At 40.2% G+C, this 22260-nt stretch overlaps 1 protein-coding gene and 1 pseudogene across 9 annotated transcripts in view, besides 1 other annotated feature; both read left to right on the top strand.

The window, feature by feature from the left end:
* Positions 1–22260, top strand: part of LRBA (LPS responsive beige-like anchor protein) — a 751293-nt gene that overhangs the window by 25527 nt on the left and 703506 nt on the right. The window lies entirely within an intron of this gene.
* Positions 2008–2522: an enhancer, noted in NCBI's record as "H3K27ac-H3K4me1 hESC enhancer chr4:151908831-151909345 (GRCh37/hg19 assembly coordinates)". NCBI's record gives its function as "activates a minimal SCP1, AML or CMV promoter by ChIP-STARR-seq in naive H9 embryonic stem cells {active_cell/tissue: H9 hESC(naive)}" and the evidence as "EXISTENCE:reporter gene assay evidence [ECO:0000049][PMID:30033119]".
* RNA5SP168 (RNA, 5S ribosomal pseudogene 168) lies at positions 19419–19530 on the top strand (annotated as a pseudogene).

The following is a 22260-nucleotide window of genomic DNA, read 5'->3' as shown; positions in this document are numbered from 1 at the left end:
TATACACACACACAACTGGTTAACATCATGGCTGAAATGGGATTTCTCCTCTGGATTCTAATCCTCAAGATATCCACCCTTACAGTGTAGATTTCTAAATACAGTTCTATTTTTTCTTTCATTTTGCTTGAATATTTGTTATTGCATACTTCTATAAGAATATTTTACCTAGTGATATTTTCTGGAAATTGTATTTCTCTAATTAAAAAAAATTAAATTCTAATTAAAAATTTTTTTTCATAGAGATGGGGGTCTTGCTATGTTGCCCAGGCTGGTCTCGAACTCCTGGCCTTAAGCCATTATCCCACCTTAGCCTTCCAAAGTTCTGTGATTACAGGCATGAGCCACCATGCATGCCTGGCTTATTTCTCTGATTGTTTCTTTTGTATATTAGTGCCAAAAAGGTTTTTTTTTTTACCCCCTTTACCAGTCATTGTCTTCCTTTTTTATTTCCTTCTTTCTTTCTTTGGCTGTGGGTCTCAGTTCAGCTCCTATATGATCTTGAGGAAGATTAAGTTTACCCTCTTGATTCTTAATTTTCTTTTATGTAAAATTGGGCTGATTCTATCTCATAGAGTTCTTTTTTTTGAGATGGAGTCTCGCTCTGTCGCCCGGGCTGGAGTGCAGTGGCGTGATCTCGGCTCACTGCAGCCTGTGCCTTCCGGGTTCAAGCGATTCTCTCACCTCAGCCTCCTGAGTAGCTGGGACTACAGGTGTGTGTCACCATGCCTGGCTACTTTTTGTATTTTTAGTAGAGTCGAGGTTTCACCATATTGGCCAGGCTGGTCTCGAACACCTGACCTCGTGATCTGCCTGCCTCGGCCTCCCAAAGTGCTGGGATTACAGGTGTGAACCACCATGCCTGGCCACAGAGTTCTTATATATTAAAACACCTACTTGGGGGCTGTGGCTCGCACCTGTAATTTCAGCTCTTTGGGAGGCCGTGGTGGGTGGATCACTTCAGATCGGGAGTTTGAGACCAGCCTGGCCAACATGGCGAAACCCCATCTCTACTAACAATACAGAAATTAGTGAGGCGGGGTGGTGGTGCGTGCCTGTAGTCCTAGCTACTTGGGAGGCTGAGGCAGGAGAATTGCTTAAACCCTGGAGGCAGAGGTTCCAGTGATCCCAGATTGTGCCATTGTACTCCAGCCTGGGTGACAGAGTGAGACTCTGTCTCAAAACAAAAAAACAACAACAAAAAAACAAACACTTTATAGGCACTTAATTAATGATAATTACCGTGTCCCCCCCACCCCCAATTTATAAACAGCCAATAAAAACTCATTTTGGTGAGTTTGATATACTGTTCATAAAATCTGATGGCTGGGCACGGTGGTTCACACCTGTAATCCCAGCACTTTGGGAGGCCCAGGTGGGTGGATCACAAGGTCAAGAGATCGAGACCATCCTGGCCAACATGGGAAAACCCTGTCTCTACTGAAAATACAAAAATTAGCTGGGCATGGTGGTACGCAGCTGTAGTTCCAGCTACTCGGGAGACTGAGGCAAGAGAATAGCTTGAACCCGGGAGACAGAGGTTGCAGTGAGCCGAGATTGCACCACTGCACTCCAGCCTGGTGACAGAGCGAGACTGTGTCTCAAAAAAAAAAAATTTGATATTCTGTTTCTCATAGAAAATTTTAGACATACACAAAAGCGAAAAGAAAACCTATGAACTCATCAGCCAGCTTTAATCATTATCAACATTCTTGCATTTTTTCATATGTCATTTTAACTAATGACATCATGGCCTCTATATGTTTGTTTTCTTTGCCTCTCTGTGATTTGTTTCTTGGAATTATTATACTTTAATTAAGGTTACAAAACTTTGGGGAACAATTTTCTAGGAACTTAAAGTCTGCTGCCAAAGTTTATATGAAATTGATGAAATAATATCCATGGTGTGTTGAATGTAGTAGTACCATGCTCAATAATGGGATCCAGTGTGTCCTGTACTGTTCTATTTTGAGGGTGCTGGCAATTTGATTCTTTATCCCTTCAAATAATTTTGAATAATTTTGGATTTAAAATTGCCTGAGGTCACCATGGGTTTATACATAGGGTTTGACTTTATTATTTTTTTCTTGTGTATTTGAGATAGAAGTCTAATAATCTATGATGATGGATGCTGATTTGGGTTTGATATTATAAGAAGAGTTTTCAATAAGGCGAATGCACTTTTTTTTTTTTTTTTTTGAGACGGAGTCTTGCTCTGTCACCCAGGCTGTAGTGAAGTTGTGTGATCTCTGCTAACTGCAACCTCTGCCTCCTGGGTTCAAGCGATTCTCCTGCCTCAGCCTCCTGGGTAGCTGGTATTACAGCCGCTCACCAGGACACCCGGCAATTTTTTGTATTTTTAGTAGAGACAGGGTTTCCCCATGTTGGCCAGGCTGGTCTCGAGCTCCTGACCTCAGGTGATCTGCCTGCCTCGGCCTCTCACAGTGCTGGGATTACAGGTGTGAGCCACCGCGCCTGGCCTGTTTTTTTTTTTGGATACAGAGACTCACTCTGTCGCCCAGGCTGGAGTGCAGTGGTGCGATCTCAGCTCACTGCCACCTCTGTCTCCCAGGTTCAAGCGATTCTCCTGTCTCAGCCTGCAGAGTAGCTGGGATTACAGGTGCCTGCCACCATGCCTGGCTAATTTTTGTGTTTTTAGTAGAGACGGGGTTTTGCCATGTTGGCCCAGCTGTTTTCGAGCTCCTGACTGGACTAAGTGGTCTGCCCGCCTCAGTCCCCCAAAGTGCTGGGATTACAGGTGAGCCACCACATCTGGCCTGAATGAACTTGCTGACTGGCACTTTTATCCTTTCTAGTAGAGATTTATATGCATACTTCTGTAAGTACCTTATTTTCAGTAACCTTTAAGGCATTAGCACAATTTCTTCAGTACTTACTGTATTGGCTTTGAGAAAGACTTGATGTATTTTTGTTTTGCTCTTGTCATTACTGGAGTAGGAGTAAAATATTCTTAATTGCAAATCAAAGTCTGTTTACAATCCTGGGAGCTTTTAATCATTGGGACCACTGTGTAATTTAAGTTCTTATTTCTAGCTGGAAATGCCAATTAATTGGTTATAGATGAGGAAAACCCTTCTTATGTAAATCTGAAGACATGAAAACTTGATATGGAACAAAACTTTAAGAATGATTTTGCCTGAGACATGTCAAATTTTGACTCTAATGAGGCTGTTTTCAGCTAGCTTCTCTACTCCCTGGCCCCAGAGGGTATATTGTTGGTCGAATGGAATATCCTATGATTTTTTTCTGTTCTTTAGCAGAAGGTGGAAGTTTCCACAGATTCCCTTTCTCTCCTTTCACCTATCGCACGAGTATCATTTTCTTTACTGCCTTCCCCCTCACTTCCTTGCCCCTTGGGCTGTTGCTTTTCCTTGGGATCTGTATTCTGTTCTTCTGCAGTTAGAAGCTTCCTTGGCATCCTGTGTCAAGTAAAAAGGCCTGTAAAATCTTTGTTTTCAGTCACCACAACATGAGTAGATCTCTGTTTTGTTTTTATGGTACGTTTGCTACCCTTTATGGAATGACAAAAATTAGCATGATGGCTTTGATTTGTGTATTGGAGATTTCAGTGATTGGTTTGGAAACAGTTGGGATAGCAGTCTACTTCCTTCCCTTTATTTTAACCATCTTACCAGATTGACAGATTTTGTCAGATTTGTCTACATTCTGTTTCAGACCATGTTTTAGCATCCTCTGATGGTTAAGAAGGAGGCCAAAAGTTGACCAAGTCTGTAGTACCTCAGGTCTATGTACCTCAGGTCTATGTACATATTCTCATAAGGAGCAAGCAACCCAGATCCCTCCTTTGTGCTCCTATGAGAATCTAATGCTACCACTGATCTGACAGGAGGTGAAGCTCAGGTGGTAATGCTCGCTTGCCTGCCGTTCATCTCCCGCTGAGGTGGAACAGTTTCATCTTGAAACCATCCACCCACCTCTGACCCCCGTTCTGTGGAAAAATTGTCTTTTGTGAAACTGGTCCCTAGTGCCATAAAGGTTGGGGACTGCTATTTTAATGTATAATTTTCAGATTCTGATGACCTGAAAGCACCCTTAACAGACTATGTTCAATTCTACATTGTAAATTATTTAGGTGAATTTGCCTGTGTGACTGTAAAAAATGTACTTTTAAGGAGTTCAAGACCAGCCTGGTCAACAAAGTGAGACCCCCATCTCTACCAAAAAAAAAGCACTTTTATACATTTAAAATGTTTTAGTTATAATATGTATTAAATATACTGGGAAAAATTTAATGTTGATTTAAAATTAGAGTAGTAGGATAGTAAAGAATCATTTGGATTTTTAACTATCATTCTTAGGTATTTTATTTTTTCCTCCTAACAACATGATATAAAAATATGACCATTAAAAACGTGCAATTCAACTGGGCGCGGTGGCTCACGCCTGTAATCCCAGCACTTTGGGAGGCCGAGGCGGGCGGATCACGAGGTCAGGAGATCAAGACTATCCTGGCTAACACGATGAAATCCCGTCTCTAATAAAAATATAAAAAATTAGCTGGGTGTGGTGGTGGGTGCCTGTAGTCCTGGCTACTCGGGAGGCTGAGGCAGGAGAACGGCGTGAACCCGGGAGGCGGAACTTGCAGTGAGCCGAGATGGTGCCACTGCACTCCAGCCTGGGCAATAGAGCGAGACTCCATCTCAATTAAAAAAAAAAAAACTATATATTAAAAAAAAGTGCAATTCTAGATTTCAACCTGTATTTATTAAATTTTTATCTTGGCTAAAATGCTAAATACAAAAACTTTACAGTACAATTTACATAGACTGAACTAACATAAAATAGTTATTTTGATTTTACTAGTTCCATGGTGGAACTTTTCTCATAGGTCTTATTTTAGAAGGGAACATGAGCTTTTGTTTTATTTTTTAATTTAAAATATAAGCTTTTTTTTTTTTTTTGAGATGGAGTCTAGCTCTGTCACCCAGGCTGGAGTGCAGTGATGCGATCTTGGCTCACTGCAACCTCCACCCCCAGGTTCAAGTGATTCTCCTGCCTCAGCTTCTCGAGTAGCTGGGATTACAGGCGCCTGTCACCATGCCTGGTTAATTTTTTGTATTTTTAGTAGAGACGGGGTTTCGCCATGTTGGCCAGGCTGGTCTTGAACTCCCTACCTTAGGTGATCCACCCGCCTTGGCCTCCCAAAGTACTGGGATTACGGGCATGAGCCACCGTGCTTTTTAAGACTTATTTAAAAATGCTTAATTACTTTCTTAAGAGTTAGATAGCTAGATAGACAAATTTGAGTGTTAGAGAATTGCTGCTAGGAAGAACAGTTTTGTGATATGTATGTTTTTTTTAAGCCATCACTTTTATAATTCCATTTACTTTTTTCCTTTCCTTTGCTACCTCAGCCTTTCTCCTTCCTTAAGGTGTGAATACGTTATAATAAAACCCAAATGCGTCTCTGTTTGTCTGTCTCTCATTCTGTTACAGACACACACACAAATTTATTTGGAAAGTCAAGGCACAGTAAAGAAGGAAATGTACATGTTAGCACATGAAGAAAGGTTAGTGATAAGAATGAAGACTTGTAGCAGATTACCTTTTAAATCTTTTATTGACAGATGGCATGTCAATTAAGAAATTATATGTATTTATTTTGGAATATTAGATATGCTATCAAATCCTAAAGTTCTTTTTTTTTTTGAGACGGACTTTCGCTCTTGTTGCCCAGGCTGGAGTGCAATGGCGCAATCTCCACTCACCACAACCTCCGCCTTCCGGGTTCAAGCAATTCTCCTGTCTCAGCCTCCAGAGTAGCTGGAATTACAGGCATGCACCACCATGCCCGGCTAATTTTGTATTTTTAGTAGAGATGGGGTTTCTCCATGTTGAGGCTGGTCTCGAACTCCTGACCTCAGGTGATCCGCCCGCCTTGGCCTCCCAAAGTGCTGGGATTACAGGCGTGGGCCACTGCGCCCAGCCCTAAAGTTCTGTAGATCGCAAAAATTTTCTTATGTTTGGTTTATTTTTCTTTCTGATTGGATTTTAACAGGTTGAATGAAATTAGCTAGTTTTATTGGCAGGCCGTAGTGTGGTTCTTTGTGGTTTACTACCCTTATCTTCTTATTCAGAAAGATTTGAACTAACTGCCCTTGAGCTGTTGGAGTTGGGGGTGGGCAGTAGAGGAAATTGGGCTTGTGGCTTGAATCAAGTGCCTTCAGAGGTTGGAAACAGCCTGGCATCATAGGAACTGAATAAATATTTGTTAAATAAATGAATAAATGAATGCATACATGAATAAAAACATCCCAGAAGTATTTCTGGTAGAAAGGTGAGTATGACCATACAACTCTTCTTTTACATGTAAGTATCTTGAGAGTTCAGATGGTAACTGGTCTCTAATTCTTACCTTATCAGCCATTGTAGTTTTTTTTTTTTTTTAAGACGGAGTACTCGCCAGCCTGGCGTGGTGGCTCACACCTGTAATCCCAGCAGTTTGGGAGGCTGAGGCAGGCGGATCACCTGAGGACAGGAGTTCGAGACCAGCCTGGCCAACATGGTGAAACCCTTTATCTACTAAAAAATACAAAAAGTTAGCCAGGTATGGTGGCGGGCACCTGTAATCCCAGCTACTCGGGAGGCTGAGGCAGGAGAATCACTTGAACCCAGAGGCAGAGGTTGCAGTGAGCTGAGATCGTGCCACTGCACTACAGCCTAGGTGACAGAGCGAGACTCCATCTCAAAAAAAAAAAAAAAAAAAAAAGAGTGCTTGCTTCATCACCCAGGCTGGCTTGCAGTGGCATGAACACAGCTCACTGCAGCCTCAACCTCCTGGGGTCAAGCATTCCTTCTGCCTCAACTTCCTCAGTAACTGGGACTACAGGCATGTTCCATCATACCTGGCTAATTTTTGATTTTTTGTAGAGATGGTTTTTGCCATGTTGCCCAGGCCAGTCTTGAACTTCTGGCTTCAAGTGTTCCGCTTGCCTCAGCCTCCCAAATGCTGGGACTACAGGTATGAGCCACTGCACCTGGCTAAAAACTTCACTTTTCTAATCTCTTATTTAATTTTGTGGTAGAAATATTTGAGTTTTATAATGTTGTTTTTTCTTTTTCTTTTTGTTTTTTTCTTTGAGACAGGGTCTTGCTCTGTTGCCCAGGCTGGAGTACAGTGGCACAGTCACTGCTTACTGCAACCTTGACCTCCTGGGCTCAGGTGATCAGAAAGTTTTAAAGTGGAAAAATCATCAGACTGGATAATTCCTAGGAAATAATTTGGTATACAGTTTTCTTCTCCCACTTTCCAGTTCTGCACCTTTTGTGTAAATCCATAGATCACAGTGTAGGTTTTCAGATGGTTGTCCCAGCTCAGTGAATTTATGGCTAAATTTGTTCCATTACATTCATAGTCTCCTGATTCACTTGGTTAAACTGATAAGCATTGCCCTACATTCTGTGGCTTCTTTGTTTACTTGTTGTCCTCTGTTGTTACTTGACCCATCTTAGTAATCTTCCTTTAATTCCTTCCAGAAGGGGAAATGTGGTGGTAAAAAATGCAAATTACAAGAGAAACTGGTATTTTTTATTCTATGGGTGTTTTTTTTTTTTTTGGCAAATACAAATGAAACAAAATTAAAAAATCTCTGATAATCCTAGCATTCATTTTCCTAGCATTACAGGGAGTTTACTGACAGTTGAATTGTCTTCTTACTGTATTTAAATCCCATATTTACTGTAACCTTACATTGTTTCCTTTTGTTACACATTTTATTTTGGATGATCACCTATTAAATAATTTAGTAGTTTTTAGTTCCCTCTAAACCTAGTTTTCAAGGGGCATTTTAGTTTTTGAAGCTTTAAAGCCCATTTAAAACATTACATATTTTAATAGCTATATATTGATTTCCTCACAATGTACGTAAGTACTTTTAAAATTATAATTAAGCACATTTATTATAGAATGAGACTTAAGGAACAATTAATAACTGAAGTCCCAATTACTTGAAGACCAGATCGATCATACTACTGTCTCTCATCTCTAAGTAGCCTTAATCTAGTGTGTATGGTGGGTCTTCTATTTTTCTAGTTAGTTGGATGAAGAAAACTTGATGTGTTTTGGCCTGTACATTTATTATTTTTCATTGACTCCATAAGATGCTATTGTAAGATGCATCATTTTTTGTACAACTAAGAAACAGAAAACATTATTTATTAAACTATGAAACAGGTTACTTTTTTTTTTTTTTTTTTGAGATGGAGTCTTGCTCTGTCTCCCTGGCTGGAGTGCAGTGGCATGATCTCAGCTCCCTGCAACCTCCGCCTCCCGGGTTCACACCGTTCTCCTGCCTCAGCCTCCCAAGTAGCTGGGACTACAGGCACCCGCCACCACCACGCCCGGCTAATTTTTTGTATTTTTAGTAGACACAGGGTTTCGCCGTGTTAGCCAGGATGGTCTTGATCTCCTGACCTCGTGATCCACCTGCCTCGGCCTCCCAAAGTGCTGGGATTACAGGTGTGAGCCACCGTGTCCGGCCCCCAATGTGTGTTCTTGGCACCTTTGTTGGAATTGAGTTCACTGTAGTTGTATGGATTTGTTTCTGAGTTGTCTGTTCTGTTCTTCTGGTCTGTGTGTCTGTTTTTGTGCTAGTACCATGCTGTTTTGGTTACTATAGCTGTGTGGTATAAATTGAAGTCAGATAGTGTGATTCTTCCAGTTTTGTTCTTTTGCTCAGGATAGCTTTGGCTATTCTGGGTCTTTTGTGGTTCCATATAAATTTTATAATTTTTTTTTTTTTTTTTTTTGAGACAGTCTCACTCCGTCGCCGAGGCTGGAGTGCAATGGTGTGATCTCAGCTCACCACAACCTCCACTTCCCAGGTTCAGGCGATTCTCCCACCTCAGCCTCCAGAGTAGCTGGGACTACAGGTGCATGCCAGCACACCTGGCTAATTTTTTGTATTTTTAGTAGAGACAAGGTTTCACTATGTTGGCCAGGCTGGTCTCGAACTTCGGACCTTGTGATCTGCCCACCGCGGCCTCCCAAAGTGCTGGGATTACAGGCGTGAGCCACTGCGCCGAGCTAATGTTTTTTTTTTTTTTAATTTCTCTGAAGAATGTCATTAGTATTTTGATAGGGATTGCATTGAATCTGTAGATTGCTTTGGGTACTATGGACATTTTAACAGTATTGATTCTTGCAATCCGTGAACATGGAATATCTTTCCATTTTTTGGTGTCCTCTTCACTTTTTTTCACCAGTATTTTATTGTTTTCATTGTAGAGATCTTTTAATTCTTTGGTTAATTCCTAGGTATTTATTTGTAGCTATTTTAAATAGGATTACTTTTTTTCATTTCATGTTCAGATTGTTTGCTGTTGGCATATAGAAATGCTACTGATATTCAAATGTTGATTTTGTATTCTACAACTTTACTGAATTAATCACTTCTAATAGTTTTTTGGTGGACTCTCTAGGTTTTTCCAAATATAAGATCATATCATATGCAAACAAGGGAAATTTAACTTCTTCCTTTCCAATTTGGATTCCCCTTCCCCTTCCCCTTCCTTTTCTCTCCGAATTTCACTCTGTCACCCAAGTGCAGTGGCGTGATCTCGTCTCACTGCAACCTCCGCCTCCCAGGTTCAAGCGATTCTCCTGCCTCAGCCCCCTCTCCCCTGGGCAGCTGGGACCACAGGCAAGTGCCACCACTCTTTATTTCTTTCTCTTGTCTGATTGCTCTAGCTATGGCTTCCAGTACTATGTTTAATAACAGTGGTGATAGTGGGCATCTTTGTTGTGTTCCAGATCTAGAGGAAAGACTTTCAGTTTTTCCCCCATCAGTATGATACTATCTGTGGTTGTCATATATGGCTTTTATTATGTTGAGGTATGCCTCTTCTCTCCCTAGTTTTTTGAGGGTTTTTTTTGTCACGGTGAGACATTGAATTTTGTCAAATGCTTTTTCAGCATCAGTTGAAATGATCTTGTTGTTTTTGTTCTCCATTCTGTTAATATGATGTATCATATTGATTGATTTGCATATGTTGAACCATCTTTGCATCCCTGGGATAAATCTCACTTGGTCATGATAAATGATCTTTTTCATGTGTTGTTAAATTCAGCTTGCTATTATAGTATTTTGTTGAGGATTTTCATGTGAATATTCATCAGAGATAGTGGTGTACAGTTTTCCTTTTTTTGATATGTCTTTGTCTCTTTTGGTATCAGGGTAATACTGGCCATGTTGAATGAGTTTGGAAGTATTCCCTCCCCTATTTTTCGGAATAATTTGAGTAGGATTGGTATTAGTTCTTCAAATGTTTGTTAGAATCCAGCAGTAAAGCCATCAGGTCCTGGACTTTTCTTTACTGTGAGACACTTTATTATGGCTTCAATCTCATTACTTGTTATTGGTCTGTTTAGACTTTGGATTTCTTCCTGGTTCAATATTGGTAGGTTGTATGTTTTCTGATTTGAGGTTACCATGAAGCTTGCAAATACTATCTTATAACTTATTATTTTAAACTGGTGACAGTTTAACACTGATTGCTTAAACAAAGAAGCAAAAAGAAAACTAATAAAAGCTCTACACTTTACCTTTATCTCCCTGCTTTTTAACTTTTTGTTGTTTCTGTTTATATTTTATTGTAGTGTCTGTGTTCATCTTTTAGTCATTCTACTTAAGAGTAATTTATATGCCCAAGTTATGGTGTTATTGTGTTTTTCTGTATGCTTACTGTTGCCAATTAATTTTGTACTTTCAGATGATTTCTTTTCTTGTTGCTTACTAACATCTGTTTCTTTTTGATTGAGGAACTAACTTCCTTTAGCATTTCTTGTAGGACAGGTATGGTGATGAAACACCTCAGCTTTTGTTTGTCTTGGAAGTCTTAATTTCTTCTTCATGTTTGAAGGATATTTTCACTGGATATAATATTCTAGGGTAAGAGTTTTTTTCCGTCTGCACCTTAAATATATTCATGCCACTCTCATGTGGCTTTAAGGTTTCCACTGAAAAGTCAGCTGCCGGATGTATTGGAGCTCCATTGTACGTTATTTGTTTCTTTTCTCCTGCCCCTTTTAGGATCCTTTCCTTATTATTGATCTTTGGGAGTTTGATTATTAAATGCCTTGAGGTAGTCTTTGGGTTAAATCTGCTTGGTGTTCTGTATCCTTCTTGTACTTGAGTATTGATATCTTTCTCTAGGTTTGCAAAGTTCTCTGTTATTATCCCTTTGAATAGACTTTCTACCCCTATTTCTTTCTCCACTTCCTCTTTAAGGACAATAACTCTCAGATTTGTCCTTTTGAGGCTGTTTTCTAGATCTTGTAGGCATGCTTCATTCTTTTGTATTCTTTTCTTTGTTTTTGTCTCCTCTAAGTGTGTATTTTCAAATAGGCTGTCTTCAAGCTTACTAATTCTTTCTTCTGTTTGATCAATTCTGTTAAGAGACTCTGATGCATTCTTTAATATATCAGTTTCATTTTTCAATTCTCAAATTTCTGCTTGATTCTTTTTTAATATTTCATCTTTTTTGTTAAATTTATCCGATAGAATTCTGAATTCCTTCTTTGTGTTATCTTCAATTTCTTTGAGTTTCCTCAAAATAGCTATTTTGAATTCTGTGCCTAAAAGGCCACATATCTCTGTTTCTCCAGGATTGGTCTCTGGTTCTTTATGTAGTTTTTTGGTGAGGTCATGTTTTCCTAGGAAGTGTTGATGCTTGTGGATGTTTGTCAGTGTCTGGACTGTTATTATAGTCTTCACAGTCTGGGCTTATTTGTGCCCATCTGTCTTGGGAAGGCTTTCCAGGTATTTGAAGGGACTGGCTATTGTGATCTAAGCTGTATCTGGATTAGGGGGCATCCCAAGCCCATAATGCTTTGGTTCTTGTAGACTCATAGAGGTACTGCCTTGGTGGTCTTGGATAAGATCTGGAAGAATTCTGTTGGTTACCAGGTGGAGACTCTTGTTTTCTTCCATTACTTTGTCCCAAACAAATGGTATGTTGCTCTCTCTCTCTCTGTGCTGAACCACCTGGAGCTGGGTGTAGGGAGACACAAGCACCTATGTGGCCACCACCATTGGGACTGTGCTGGGTCAGATCTGAAGCCAGCACAGCACTGGGTCTCACCCAAGGCCTGCTATAACCACTACCTGGCTACTCTCTATATTCACTCAAGGCCCTAGGGCTCTACCATCAGCAGTTGGCGAAGCCAGTAAGGCTTATGTCCTTCCCTTCAGGGTAGCGTGTTTCCTGAGGCCCTTGGCAGGTCTAGAGAGGCCATCCAGGAGCCAAGGAGTGGAATAAAAACTCTTAGAAATCTGACTGGTGCTCTATTCTGTGGCTAAGATGTTGCTCAAAGTCTTTCCCACTCTTCCCTCCTGTTTACATAGGTAGAGGAGCATCTCCCACTAGCCACCACCACCACAGACCCATGGGGAATACTGCCAGGTTACTGCCAATGTTCGCTTAAGGCCCAAGGACTCTTCAGTTAGCTTGTGGTGAATGCTTCCAGGCCTGGGACTCACCCTTTTGGGCAGCAGGCTCTCTTCTGGCCCAGGGCATGTCCAGAAATGCTGTCCAAGAGCCAAAGCCTAGAATCGGGGATCTCAGGAGCCCTTTTGGTGCTTTACACCACTGTGTCCGAGGTGATTCCTGAAGCCGGCACGTTTCAGAGTCTCACCCAAGGCCCATGGCTTACTACTTGGATGTTGCTTCTGGTTCTGCAGGGTCCAAGGGCTCTTTAGTCAGCAAGTAATCAATCCTGCCAGGATTGGGTCATTCCCTTCAAGGCAGCGGGTTCCCTTCTGGCCCAGCGTGTGTGTATATATGTTGCCCGAGCTACGACCTGGAATGGGGTCCTCATGACTGAGCTGGGACCTGGAATGGGGTCCTCATGACTGCCTGGTTTCCTATTCGATTGTGGCTGAGCTAGTATCCAAGATGCAAGACAAAGTCCTTTTAACTTTTCACTCTCCTCTCCTCAAGCTGATGGAAGGAGTCACTTTTGTTGTTGCAAGCTGCGCTGCCAGGGGTTGGAGAGGAGTGGCGCAAGTACTTCCTTAGCTGCCCCAGCTGGGGTCTTACCAGGTCACATGCCCCTCATGTTCAGAGCCAGTGGACTCAGAGCACAGTGCTAGGACTTGCCTAGGAATTTCAGTCCTTGTGGCCTAGACTGCCCTTCAAGTTTATTTAGAGGCCCCAAGCACTTTAAGCCACGGTGGTGAGGCTTGTCAATACTGTTTCCAGCCACTGGGATGTGCAGTTCTCTTCTGGCTAGGGCTGGTCTTAATACTCTCTCTGTAGGTGGACGTTGGCTAATTTTAGTCTTGTTCTGCTTTCCGCTGTGACAGGGCAGCACTGTTCAATGCAGGATCCCACAGTCGCTGCACTCTCCCACTCCCAGGCGCGTAGGTGCTCCATGACACACAGCTGCTTTTGGGGGGAATAGCAATTCAAGACTGTCTTGCTTACCTTCTTCAGTGCCCCTTTCTGTGATACGAAGTGATTGCTCACCTTATTTTTGGTTTTTATGAAGGTGCTTTTTTGTGGACATGGTTGTTAAATTTGTTGTTTCTGTCGCGGCGATGATCGGTGAAGGCTTGTATTTGGCCATCTTTCTCTGTCCTCTAATTTCTTTTAAAAAATAACTTAATAAAGATTAGTAACATATATAACATATTAGATTAAATAACAGATTAGTATTCAGTAACCCATATATAATTTATACGTTAATATATCTGTGATCTGACTACTTAATTTTTTGCCAGTAGGAGTATGTAATCAACTGTTTGGAAATCATTTATCCAGAGGATGAATTACTTCTTTTGTGCTATTTGAGCTCTGCATCATTAGTGAAATGTATTTGTTTGGGGGACAGCTCTTCTGTTAGCTTGTATGACGTGTGAGTTTATGGTGAGGCTATATTAGAAGTAATTTATATATTTCAACAAATTTGTCTAGTCAGTCAAATATTTTTCTGCCTCAGTCTCTTTCTACTCTCCTTTTTGTTCTTTTTTTTTTTTTTTTTTTCAAGACGGAGTTTCACTCTGTCACCCAAGCTGGAGTGCAGTGGCACAATCTTGGCTCACTGCAACCTCTGCCTCCCAGGTTCAGACGATTCTCCTGCCTCAGCCTTCTGAGTAGCTGGGATTACAGGTGTGTGCTGCCACGCCCAGCTAAGTTTTTATTTTATTTTTTTAATTTTTAATAGAGATGGGGTTTCACTATGTTGGCCAGGCTGGTCTCAAACTCCTTACATCAAGTGATCTGCCCACCTTGGCCTCCCAAAGTGTTGGGATTACAGGCGTGAGCCACTGCGCCCGGCCTCTACTCTCCTTTTTGGAACTCCAGTGACATGTATGTTAGACTTTTGGATACTGTCCCATATTTCCATTAGATTATTCATTTTTTTCAATCTTACCTCTTTCTTTGTTTTTCAGGTTAAATAATTTATATTGATTTATTTTTATATTCATTGATTATTTTTTCTGTCATCTCCATTCTGCTAATGTGCCCATCTAGGCTTAATAGGTTTTTACTTCTTAAATAATTTCTTAATAGATTTTTTACTTCTCAGTTTTCTCCATTGAATACTTCTATTCTGTCTTTCCATTCATTTCATTTTTCTTTACCTTTTCTTTTTTGTTTTCTTTCTTTCTTTTTTTTTTTTTTGAGATAGAGTCTCACAGTCTCACTCTGTCACTTAGGCTGAAGTGCAGTGGTGCGATCTGGGCTCACTGCAACCTCCGTCTCCCGGGTTCAAGGGATTCTCCTGCCTCAGCCTCCTGAGTAGCTGGAATTACAGGCATGCACCACCACACCCAGCTAATTTTTGTATTTTTAAGATGGGGTTTCACCACGTTGGCCAGGCTGGTCTCTAACTCTTGGCCTCAAGTGATCCCACCCGCCTTGGCTTCTCAAAATGTTGGGATTACAGGCGTGAGCCACTGTGCCTGGCTACTTTACCTTTATCTTTACCTCCTGAAGCATAGTTATAATATTAATAGCTGCTTTAAACTCTTTCCATGGTAATTCCAACATCTGATTAGTAGAGATTTGTTTTTATCTGTTTATTGTTGTTTCTCTTGAAATTCATAGTTTTTTGATTTTTTGTATGCCAAGTAATTTCTGGATTGTATTCCTGATTTTGTGAAAGTTATGTTGGTAGACTCTGAGCTGTGTTATATTTCTTGGAGAAGGCTGATTTATTTTGTTTGTTTAGCAGGCAATCAACCTTTATTAGGGTCAGACCACAAGTTTTGGCCTGCTTTCTATATGTAGTGGTTTCAATATCAGTTCAGTTTTCAAAAGCTTTGCCTTGCTTTTTTTTTGGGTTTGTCCTGTGTATATGCCACTCAGGGGCTAGTCTGAGATTTGAGTTCGATTCTCAAAGCTTTTACTTTTCTGGTTTGGGTCTGTCATATGCTTTGCACAGGGATGAGTCTTGTATTGGTTCATAGAGAACTTTTCTTCTCTCCATGACTTTCCTACCCTCTCCTGCCTTTTTCCAGTTTGTCTGGCTTGAAAGACAAGGTTTCTGTCAGCACTGTAGCCAGCGCTTCTATTTATCTGCTATACAGTTCTTTCAAGGCAGACTCAAAGCTTGTTTTTAAATATTGCAATGGTAGATATAGTGTAGCCTTTATTCTAGTCCTTGTTTAGTTGTACAACTAAAGCTTAGTCCAAAGCCTTGGATGTTTGAGATCTTTCCACTTTGAATAGAATTCAGACTTCTCTCAGCCCTGTGTGACCTGTAGAATTTTTCAGCTTACAACAATCTCGGTAGTTGTTCTTCTCTTGATGGTGTTCTGATTCTCACCCAATGCCCATGCAGTTTAGTATTCATCCAAATACTCAAAGGGACCACTACTAAGATTTCTAGAGCAATTTCTCAGGTAACCTTCTTCTCTGGTACTCTTCTCCTTGAATTCCAGCCATCTCATTCTCTCTGAACTCTGATCTGTGTCTCTTCAACTCATTAGAATGATGGTTGTCTCAACTCAATGGTTTCATTGTCTCAAGGTGTCACTGAGTTGAGACCTTGTTTGTTTTTGTGCTTTCAGTGATCACAGTCCAAAGAATTGTTTTATGTATTTTGTTTAGTTTTCCACTTTATGGTGAGAGATTAAATCTGGTGTCCATTACCCTTTTATAGCCAGTGGCAGTACTTTGCATACCGTACTCATTGTTATTTTGCCTGCTGAACATGAATATTTTTGTGAATCAGCGAGTGCGTCTTATATTTGATCTTTTATGTAATAGCTGCTTGATTAATGTGTGTTGATAGATTCATTTGCAGTGATGCATTCTTGTGTTGTGCTCTTTTAAACTTTACTGCACTGCTGATGCTCAAGTTTCTTTTGCTTTTTACTTTTTGTGGAGACAGGGTCTCGCTATTTTGCCCAGGCTGGTCTTGAATTCCTGGGCTGAAGTGATCTTCTCGCTTCAGCCTCGTGAAGTGCTGGGGTTACAGGCACAAGCCACCATGTCTGGTCATGAGTTGGTTTCTTTAAACAGAATCAATAGCCTAACTGGCAAAAATCCACACAAGTTTTTATTTAGACATCCTTTTATCTTATATGTAATCACACAGTTATTAGAACAGAATTATTAGAAGATTTTACTCTATATTGTACACATTTGATTCTATACATTATGCCTCTTTTGAAATATTAATGTAGAACAAGATTGGACTTGATAACTAGACTGATTAATATCATTTAAAAAATTTTAATTTTAGGCCAAGCATGGTAGCTCACGCCTGTAATACCAGCACTTTGGGAGGCTGAGGCGGGCAGATCACCTGAGGTCGGGAGTTTGAGACCAGCCTGACCAATATGGAGAAACCCCGTCTCTACTAAAAATACAAAATTAGCTGGGCGTGGTGGCGCATGCCTGTAATCCCAGCTACTCGGGAGGCGGAGGCAGGAGAATTGCTTGAACCCAGGAGGCGGAGGTTGCAGTGAGCTGAGATCATGCCATTGCACTCCAGCCTGGGCAACAAGAGCAAAACTTTGTCTCCAAAAACAAACAAACAAACAAACAAACAAACAAACAGACAGACAAAATATTTAATTTTAAAAATAGAGACAGGGTCTCATTCTGTTGCCCAGGCTGGTCTTGAACTCCTGGCCTCAAGTGATCCTCCTTCCTTGGCTTCCCAAAGTGCTAGGATTATAGGTGCCCATCACCAGTCCCGGCCAAGACTAATTATTGATAGTTTTTTTTTAAAGGACAATTTTTGTTCTCAAAGTTTGCCATTTCTTCTAACACTGTAAGAAGATACTTGATCTGACTATTAATTTACAGAAAGTGAGTTCATGTAATCTGAACCAAGAGAGAATGTGACACTGAAGTGCTTCAGTGAGTGTATGTTGCTACTGGATGAAATTTCAGGCAGGAAATAACTGCTTTGTTTAGTATCAGATAGTCTAGTTAATATATTCCACTTGATTGCCTTTAGAAAATAAACTTAAATGAAGAGCCAGGAAGCTGACAAAGATTGCTTTAGTCTTAAAGTAGTACATGTTTTTCTTTGAATGGGAAATGCATTTCCTTTTAAATGTACACCATTAGAGGAAATGTGAAATACGTTTTTTAAGCATTTCTTCTGACTTTTAAAAATTGATATGTAATATTTTACATATTTATGGGGTACATATGGTATTTTGTTACATGCGTAGAATGTATAATGATCAAGTCAGGGTTTTTAAAATGGAAAATCTGTTAGTCACTATGAGAAAGAGTTGATTTATGTTACTTTCAGATTTGCCAAATCTATCTAAAATCCTGTTTTTTCTTGTTAAGTACTATTTTATTTTATTTTATTTTTTAACAGTTTTGGATTTTGCTTCTATTTAACTCTTCTACAGAGTTTGTTTTGTGAGAATCATTTTACATCTCCTCCCCTTATATTTGTTGAAGCTATTTAAATACTGGCTTAAATAGTATATCTGTTTGTTTAAAACCCTTGTTAACTTTTTAGGATATATGTACAAAATTTGAAATTTTAAAAGAAAGTTTTATGATTAATCCTTTACTAAGTAACTTGGCTTTTTAAAGCTCTTGCAAAGGCTGGTTTTACATATATTACTTCAAATGCCCATGAGATGGTGCTCATTAGTTTCATTTTTGTAGCATTGATTTTTTTGGTAAGGTACTTATAAGAGAATCTATAAATATATTGTGCTGTAAATTTCTAATTATTTTCTCAGTAGTTATGGAATGGAGGTACATTATACTGGCATACATTTATGCATTTTTTCTCCCTAATCTGTGTGTTGGCTAATATACTACATTAATTTGCTGTAAGTTTTCAAATGATGATACATTAAAGGCATCTCCATTTTTACCTTCTTTCTTTAACACAAGCTTCAGATTGCATACCTGTTTTTTATAGCATGTGAATTCTTTTTCCCTTCCTCTTTGGGCCAAGCTTGGAACCCTTGTGAAATAGTAAATAAAAATCAGAGCTCTTAATGTTTCATTTGTTTATAGCTATTTGTTACATAAAATTTAGTATTAAATATATCTTATGATTAGAAAGAGAATGATATTTTGTTATCTAAGTACTCTGTACTGAAAGCATTGTTCTTTGACTTTATTTCACTATAGATTTTATTAAGACATGAGGAACCAAGTATATCTGTGTATTTTCACCCTTATGCCAAATATTCCTTTTGCAATTATTGAACTTTTATCAAATTTCTGTTGTGTTGAGTTGAGGAAAGAGAAGGTGGCTGGGATGAAGGTTAGAAGCAGAATTATTCAAAATAACATAATGAAAATGCCTAGACCCCTGAAGGATTTTGACTGGGCTGGCTTACATGATGACCTTATAGCTAAAACAATCATTATATGTGACAGTATGTGTCTGATTGCCTTATCTTTGTTGTGTGCCACTCTGTATGAAATTGGGCACCATGATTCATGTCCCTGCCAGGACTACTTTGAAGTAAGGAAAAAGTTCCTCAAAGGAACCAGAGAAAGGGAAATGTGAAATTATGCTTGCCAGAGAAAAGTAGTAGCAACCATAACTAATACATTGCCTCTAAGGGTTGCAACAAAAATGAAATGAGTGAGCACACTTCGACATATTCTATATACTGTATAGCTTTCTAATAGTTTTGTTTTGAATTTTTCTTTTCTTTTTGAGAGGCAGTATCTTGCATGGAATCAGGTAGACTTTTGGTTTGACTCAGGTCTGTCAGTTCTTGGGCTTATGATCTTGGTCAAGCTGTGTAATCTTTCTGACCTAGTTTCTGTATCTTTAAAATGAGAATAACAGTACCAGTTTCATAGGGCTCTTGGAATATTTGAAAATAATGCCCAGCACATAGTAGGTGCTCACCAAATGCAGTTTTCCTTCTCAGAAGCTTACAGTCTGATGGAAACAAGACTCATATAAAGATAACTAATACTCTAGACACAGTTATACCACCCTGAGCACACCCAGTGTTGTCTGATCTTTGAAGCTAAGCGGAGTTAGGCCTGATTAGTACAGGCATACCTTGGAGATATTGCAGATTTTGTTTGAGAGCACTGCAATAAAGTAGTGAATATGAGTCACACATTTTTTGGTTTTCCAATGCATATGAGTTACATTTACAGTATACTTTTGTGTGTGTGTGTGTGTGTGTGTGTGTGTGTACACACACACACACACACACACACACACACACAAGTATATATTATTATTATTTTTTTGAGACAGGGTCTTGCTTTGCTGCCCAGGCTGAAGTGCAGTAGTGTGATCAAGGCTTACTGCAGCCTCAACCTCTTGGGCTTAAGCGATCCTCCCACCTCAACCTCCCAAGTAGCTGGGACTACAGGTGTAGGCCACCATGCCCAGCTAAGTTTTTACTTTTTTGTAGAGATGGGGTCTCCCTAAGTTGCCCAGGCTGGTCTTAAACTCCTGGGCTCAAGTGATCTGTCTGCCTCAGCCTCCCTAAGTGCTGGGATTACAGATGTGAGCCATCACACCCAGCCTACTTTAGTCTGTTAAGTGTGTAATACCATTATGTCTAAAAAAACAATGCACACACCTTCATTAAAAAAATGCTTTATTGCTTAAAAATGCTAACGATCATCTGAGCATTCAGAGTGTCCTAATCTTTTTGGTGGTGGAGGGTTTTGCCTCGATCAGGGTGGTGGTTGCTCAGTGGCTGTGAAAAGTTGTTAAAATCAGACCACAATGAAGTTTTGCCCCATTGACTGATCTTTGTTTTCTTGTCTTGAAAAATTTCTCTGTAGCATGCAATGCTGTTCAGTAGTGTTCTATGAACAGTAGAACTTCTTTCAGAATTGGAGTCAGTCCTCTCAAATTCTGCTACTGCGTTATCAACTAAATTTATGTAAGATTCTAAATCCTTTGTTATCTCAACAATACTCATGGCATCTTCACCAGTTGTAGATTTCCATCTCAAGAAACCGCTTTGGCCAGGTGTGGTGGCTCACGCCTGTAATCTCAGCACTTTGGGAGGCTGAGGTGGGTGGATAACTTGAGCCCAGGAGTTCGAGACTAGCCTGGGCAACATGGTGAGACCTTGTCTCTACCAAAAATAAAAAGAAATTAGCTGGGTGTTGTGGCGTTCATCTGTAGTCCTAGCTACCTGGGTGGCTGAGGTGGGAGGATTACCTGAGTCTGGGAGGTCAAGGCTATAGTGAGTTGTGATTGCACCACTGCACTCCAGCCTGGGTGCTCCACTTCTCAATCTAGTTCTCTTGCTATTTCCACCACATGTGCTGTGACTTCCTCCATGGAAGTCTTGAACCTCTCAAAGTCATCCATGGGGTCTGGAATCCATTTCTTCCAAACTCCTCCTCCCATGAATCAAAAATGTTCCTCATGGCATCTACAATGGTGAATCATTTTCAGAAGGTTTTCTGTTTACTTTGCTCAGCTCTATCAGAGGAATCACTATCTATGGCAGTGATAGCCTTACAAAATGTATTTCCTAGATAATAAGATTTGAAAGTTGAAATTACATTTTGAACTATGGGCTGCAAAATGGATGTTATGTTAACAGGCACGAAAACAACGTGAATCTCCTTGTATATCTGCATCAGAGCTCTTAGGTGACCAGGTGCATTGTAAATGGTCAATAATATTTTGAAAGGAAATCTTTTTTTCCGAGCAGTGAGTCTCAACAGTTGGCTTAAAATATTCAGTACACTGTGCTGTGAACAGATATGCAGTCATCCAGGCTTTGTTGTTCCATTTATAGAGCATAGGCAGAGTACATTTAACATAATTCTGAAGGATCTTACGATTTTCAGAATGGTTTGTGAGCATTGCCTTCAACTTAGTCACCAGCTGCATTAGCCCCTAACAGTAGAGTCTGCCTGTTCTATGAAGCTTTGAAACCAGGCATTGATTTCATATCTGTATCTAGGAAAGTCCTAGATGGCATCTTCTTGCAATAGAAGGCTGTTTTGTCTACATTAAAAATCTATTGTGTAGCCACCTTTATCAGTTATCTCAGGTAGATCTTCTGGATAATTTGCTGTACCTTCTCCATTAGTACCTGAAGCTTTATCTTGCATTTTGTGTTATGGAGACTGTTTCTTTCCTTAAGCCTCTGCTGGCTTCCACTTTTTCTTCTACAGCTTACTCACCTCTCCCAGACTTCATAAAATTGAAGAGAGTTAGGGCCTTGCACTGGATTAGGCTTTGGCCTAAGGGAACGTTGTGACTGATTTGATCTATCCAGACCACTAAAACTTTCTCCATATCAGCCATGAAGCTGTTTTGCTTACGTTTAATTTCCTTCAAGAACTTTCCCTTTGCATTCACACTTGGATTTTGGCACAAGAGGCCTAGCTTTTGGCCTATTTCAACCTTTGACGTAGGCCTTTCTGTGCTTAATCATTTCTAGTTTTTTACTTAAAATGAGAGATGTGCGGCCGGGCACAGTGGCTCATGCCTGTGATCCCAGCACTTTGGAAGGCCGAGGTGGGTGATCACTTGAGGTCAGGAGTTCGAGACTAGCCTGGCCAACATGGTGAAACCCCATCCCTACTAAAATACAAAAATTAGCCAGACATGGTGGCAGATGCCTGGAATCCCAGCTACTCGGGCGGCTGAGGCAGGAGAATCGCTTGAACCTGGGAGGTGGAGGTTGCAGTAAACCGAAATCGCGCCACTGCTCTCCAGCCTGGGCGACAGAGTGAGACTCTGTCTCAAAAAAAAAAAAAAAAAAAAGATGTGCAAATCTTCCTTTCACTTGAACACTTAGAGGCCATTGTAGGTTTATTAATTGGCCT

The sequence above is a fragment of the Homo sapiens genome, chromosome 4 (assembly GCF_000001405.40).
Source record: "Homo sapiens chromosome 4, GRCh38.p14 Primary Assembly".
NCBI lineage: Eukaryota > Metazoa > Chordata > Mammalia > Primates > Hominidae > Homo > Homo sapiens.
This window is presented reverse-complemented; position numbering and strand designations above follow the sequence as displayed.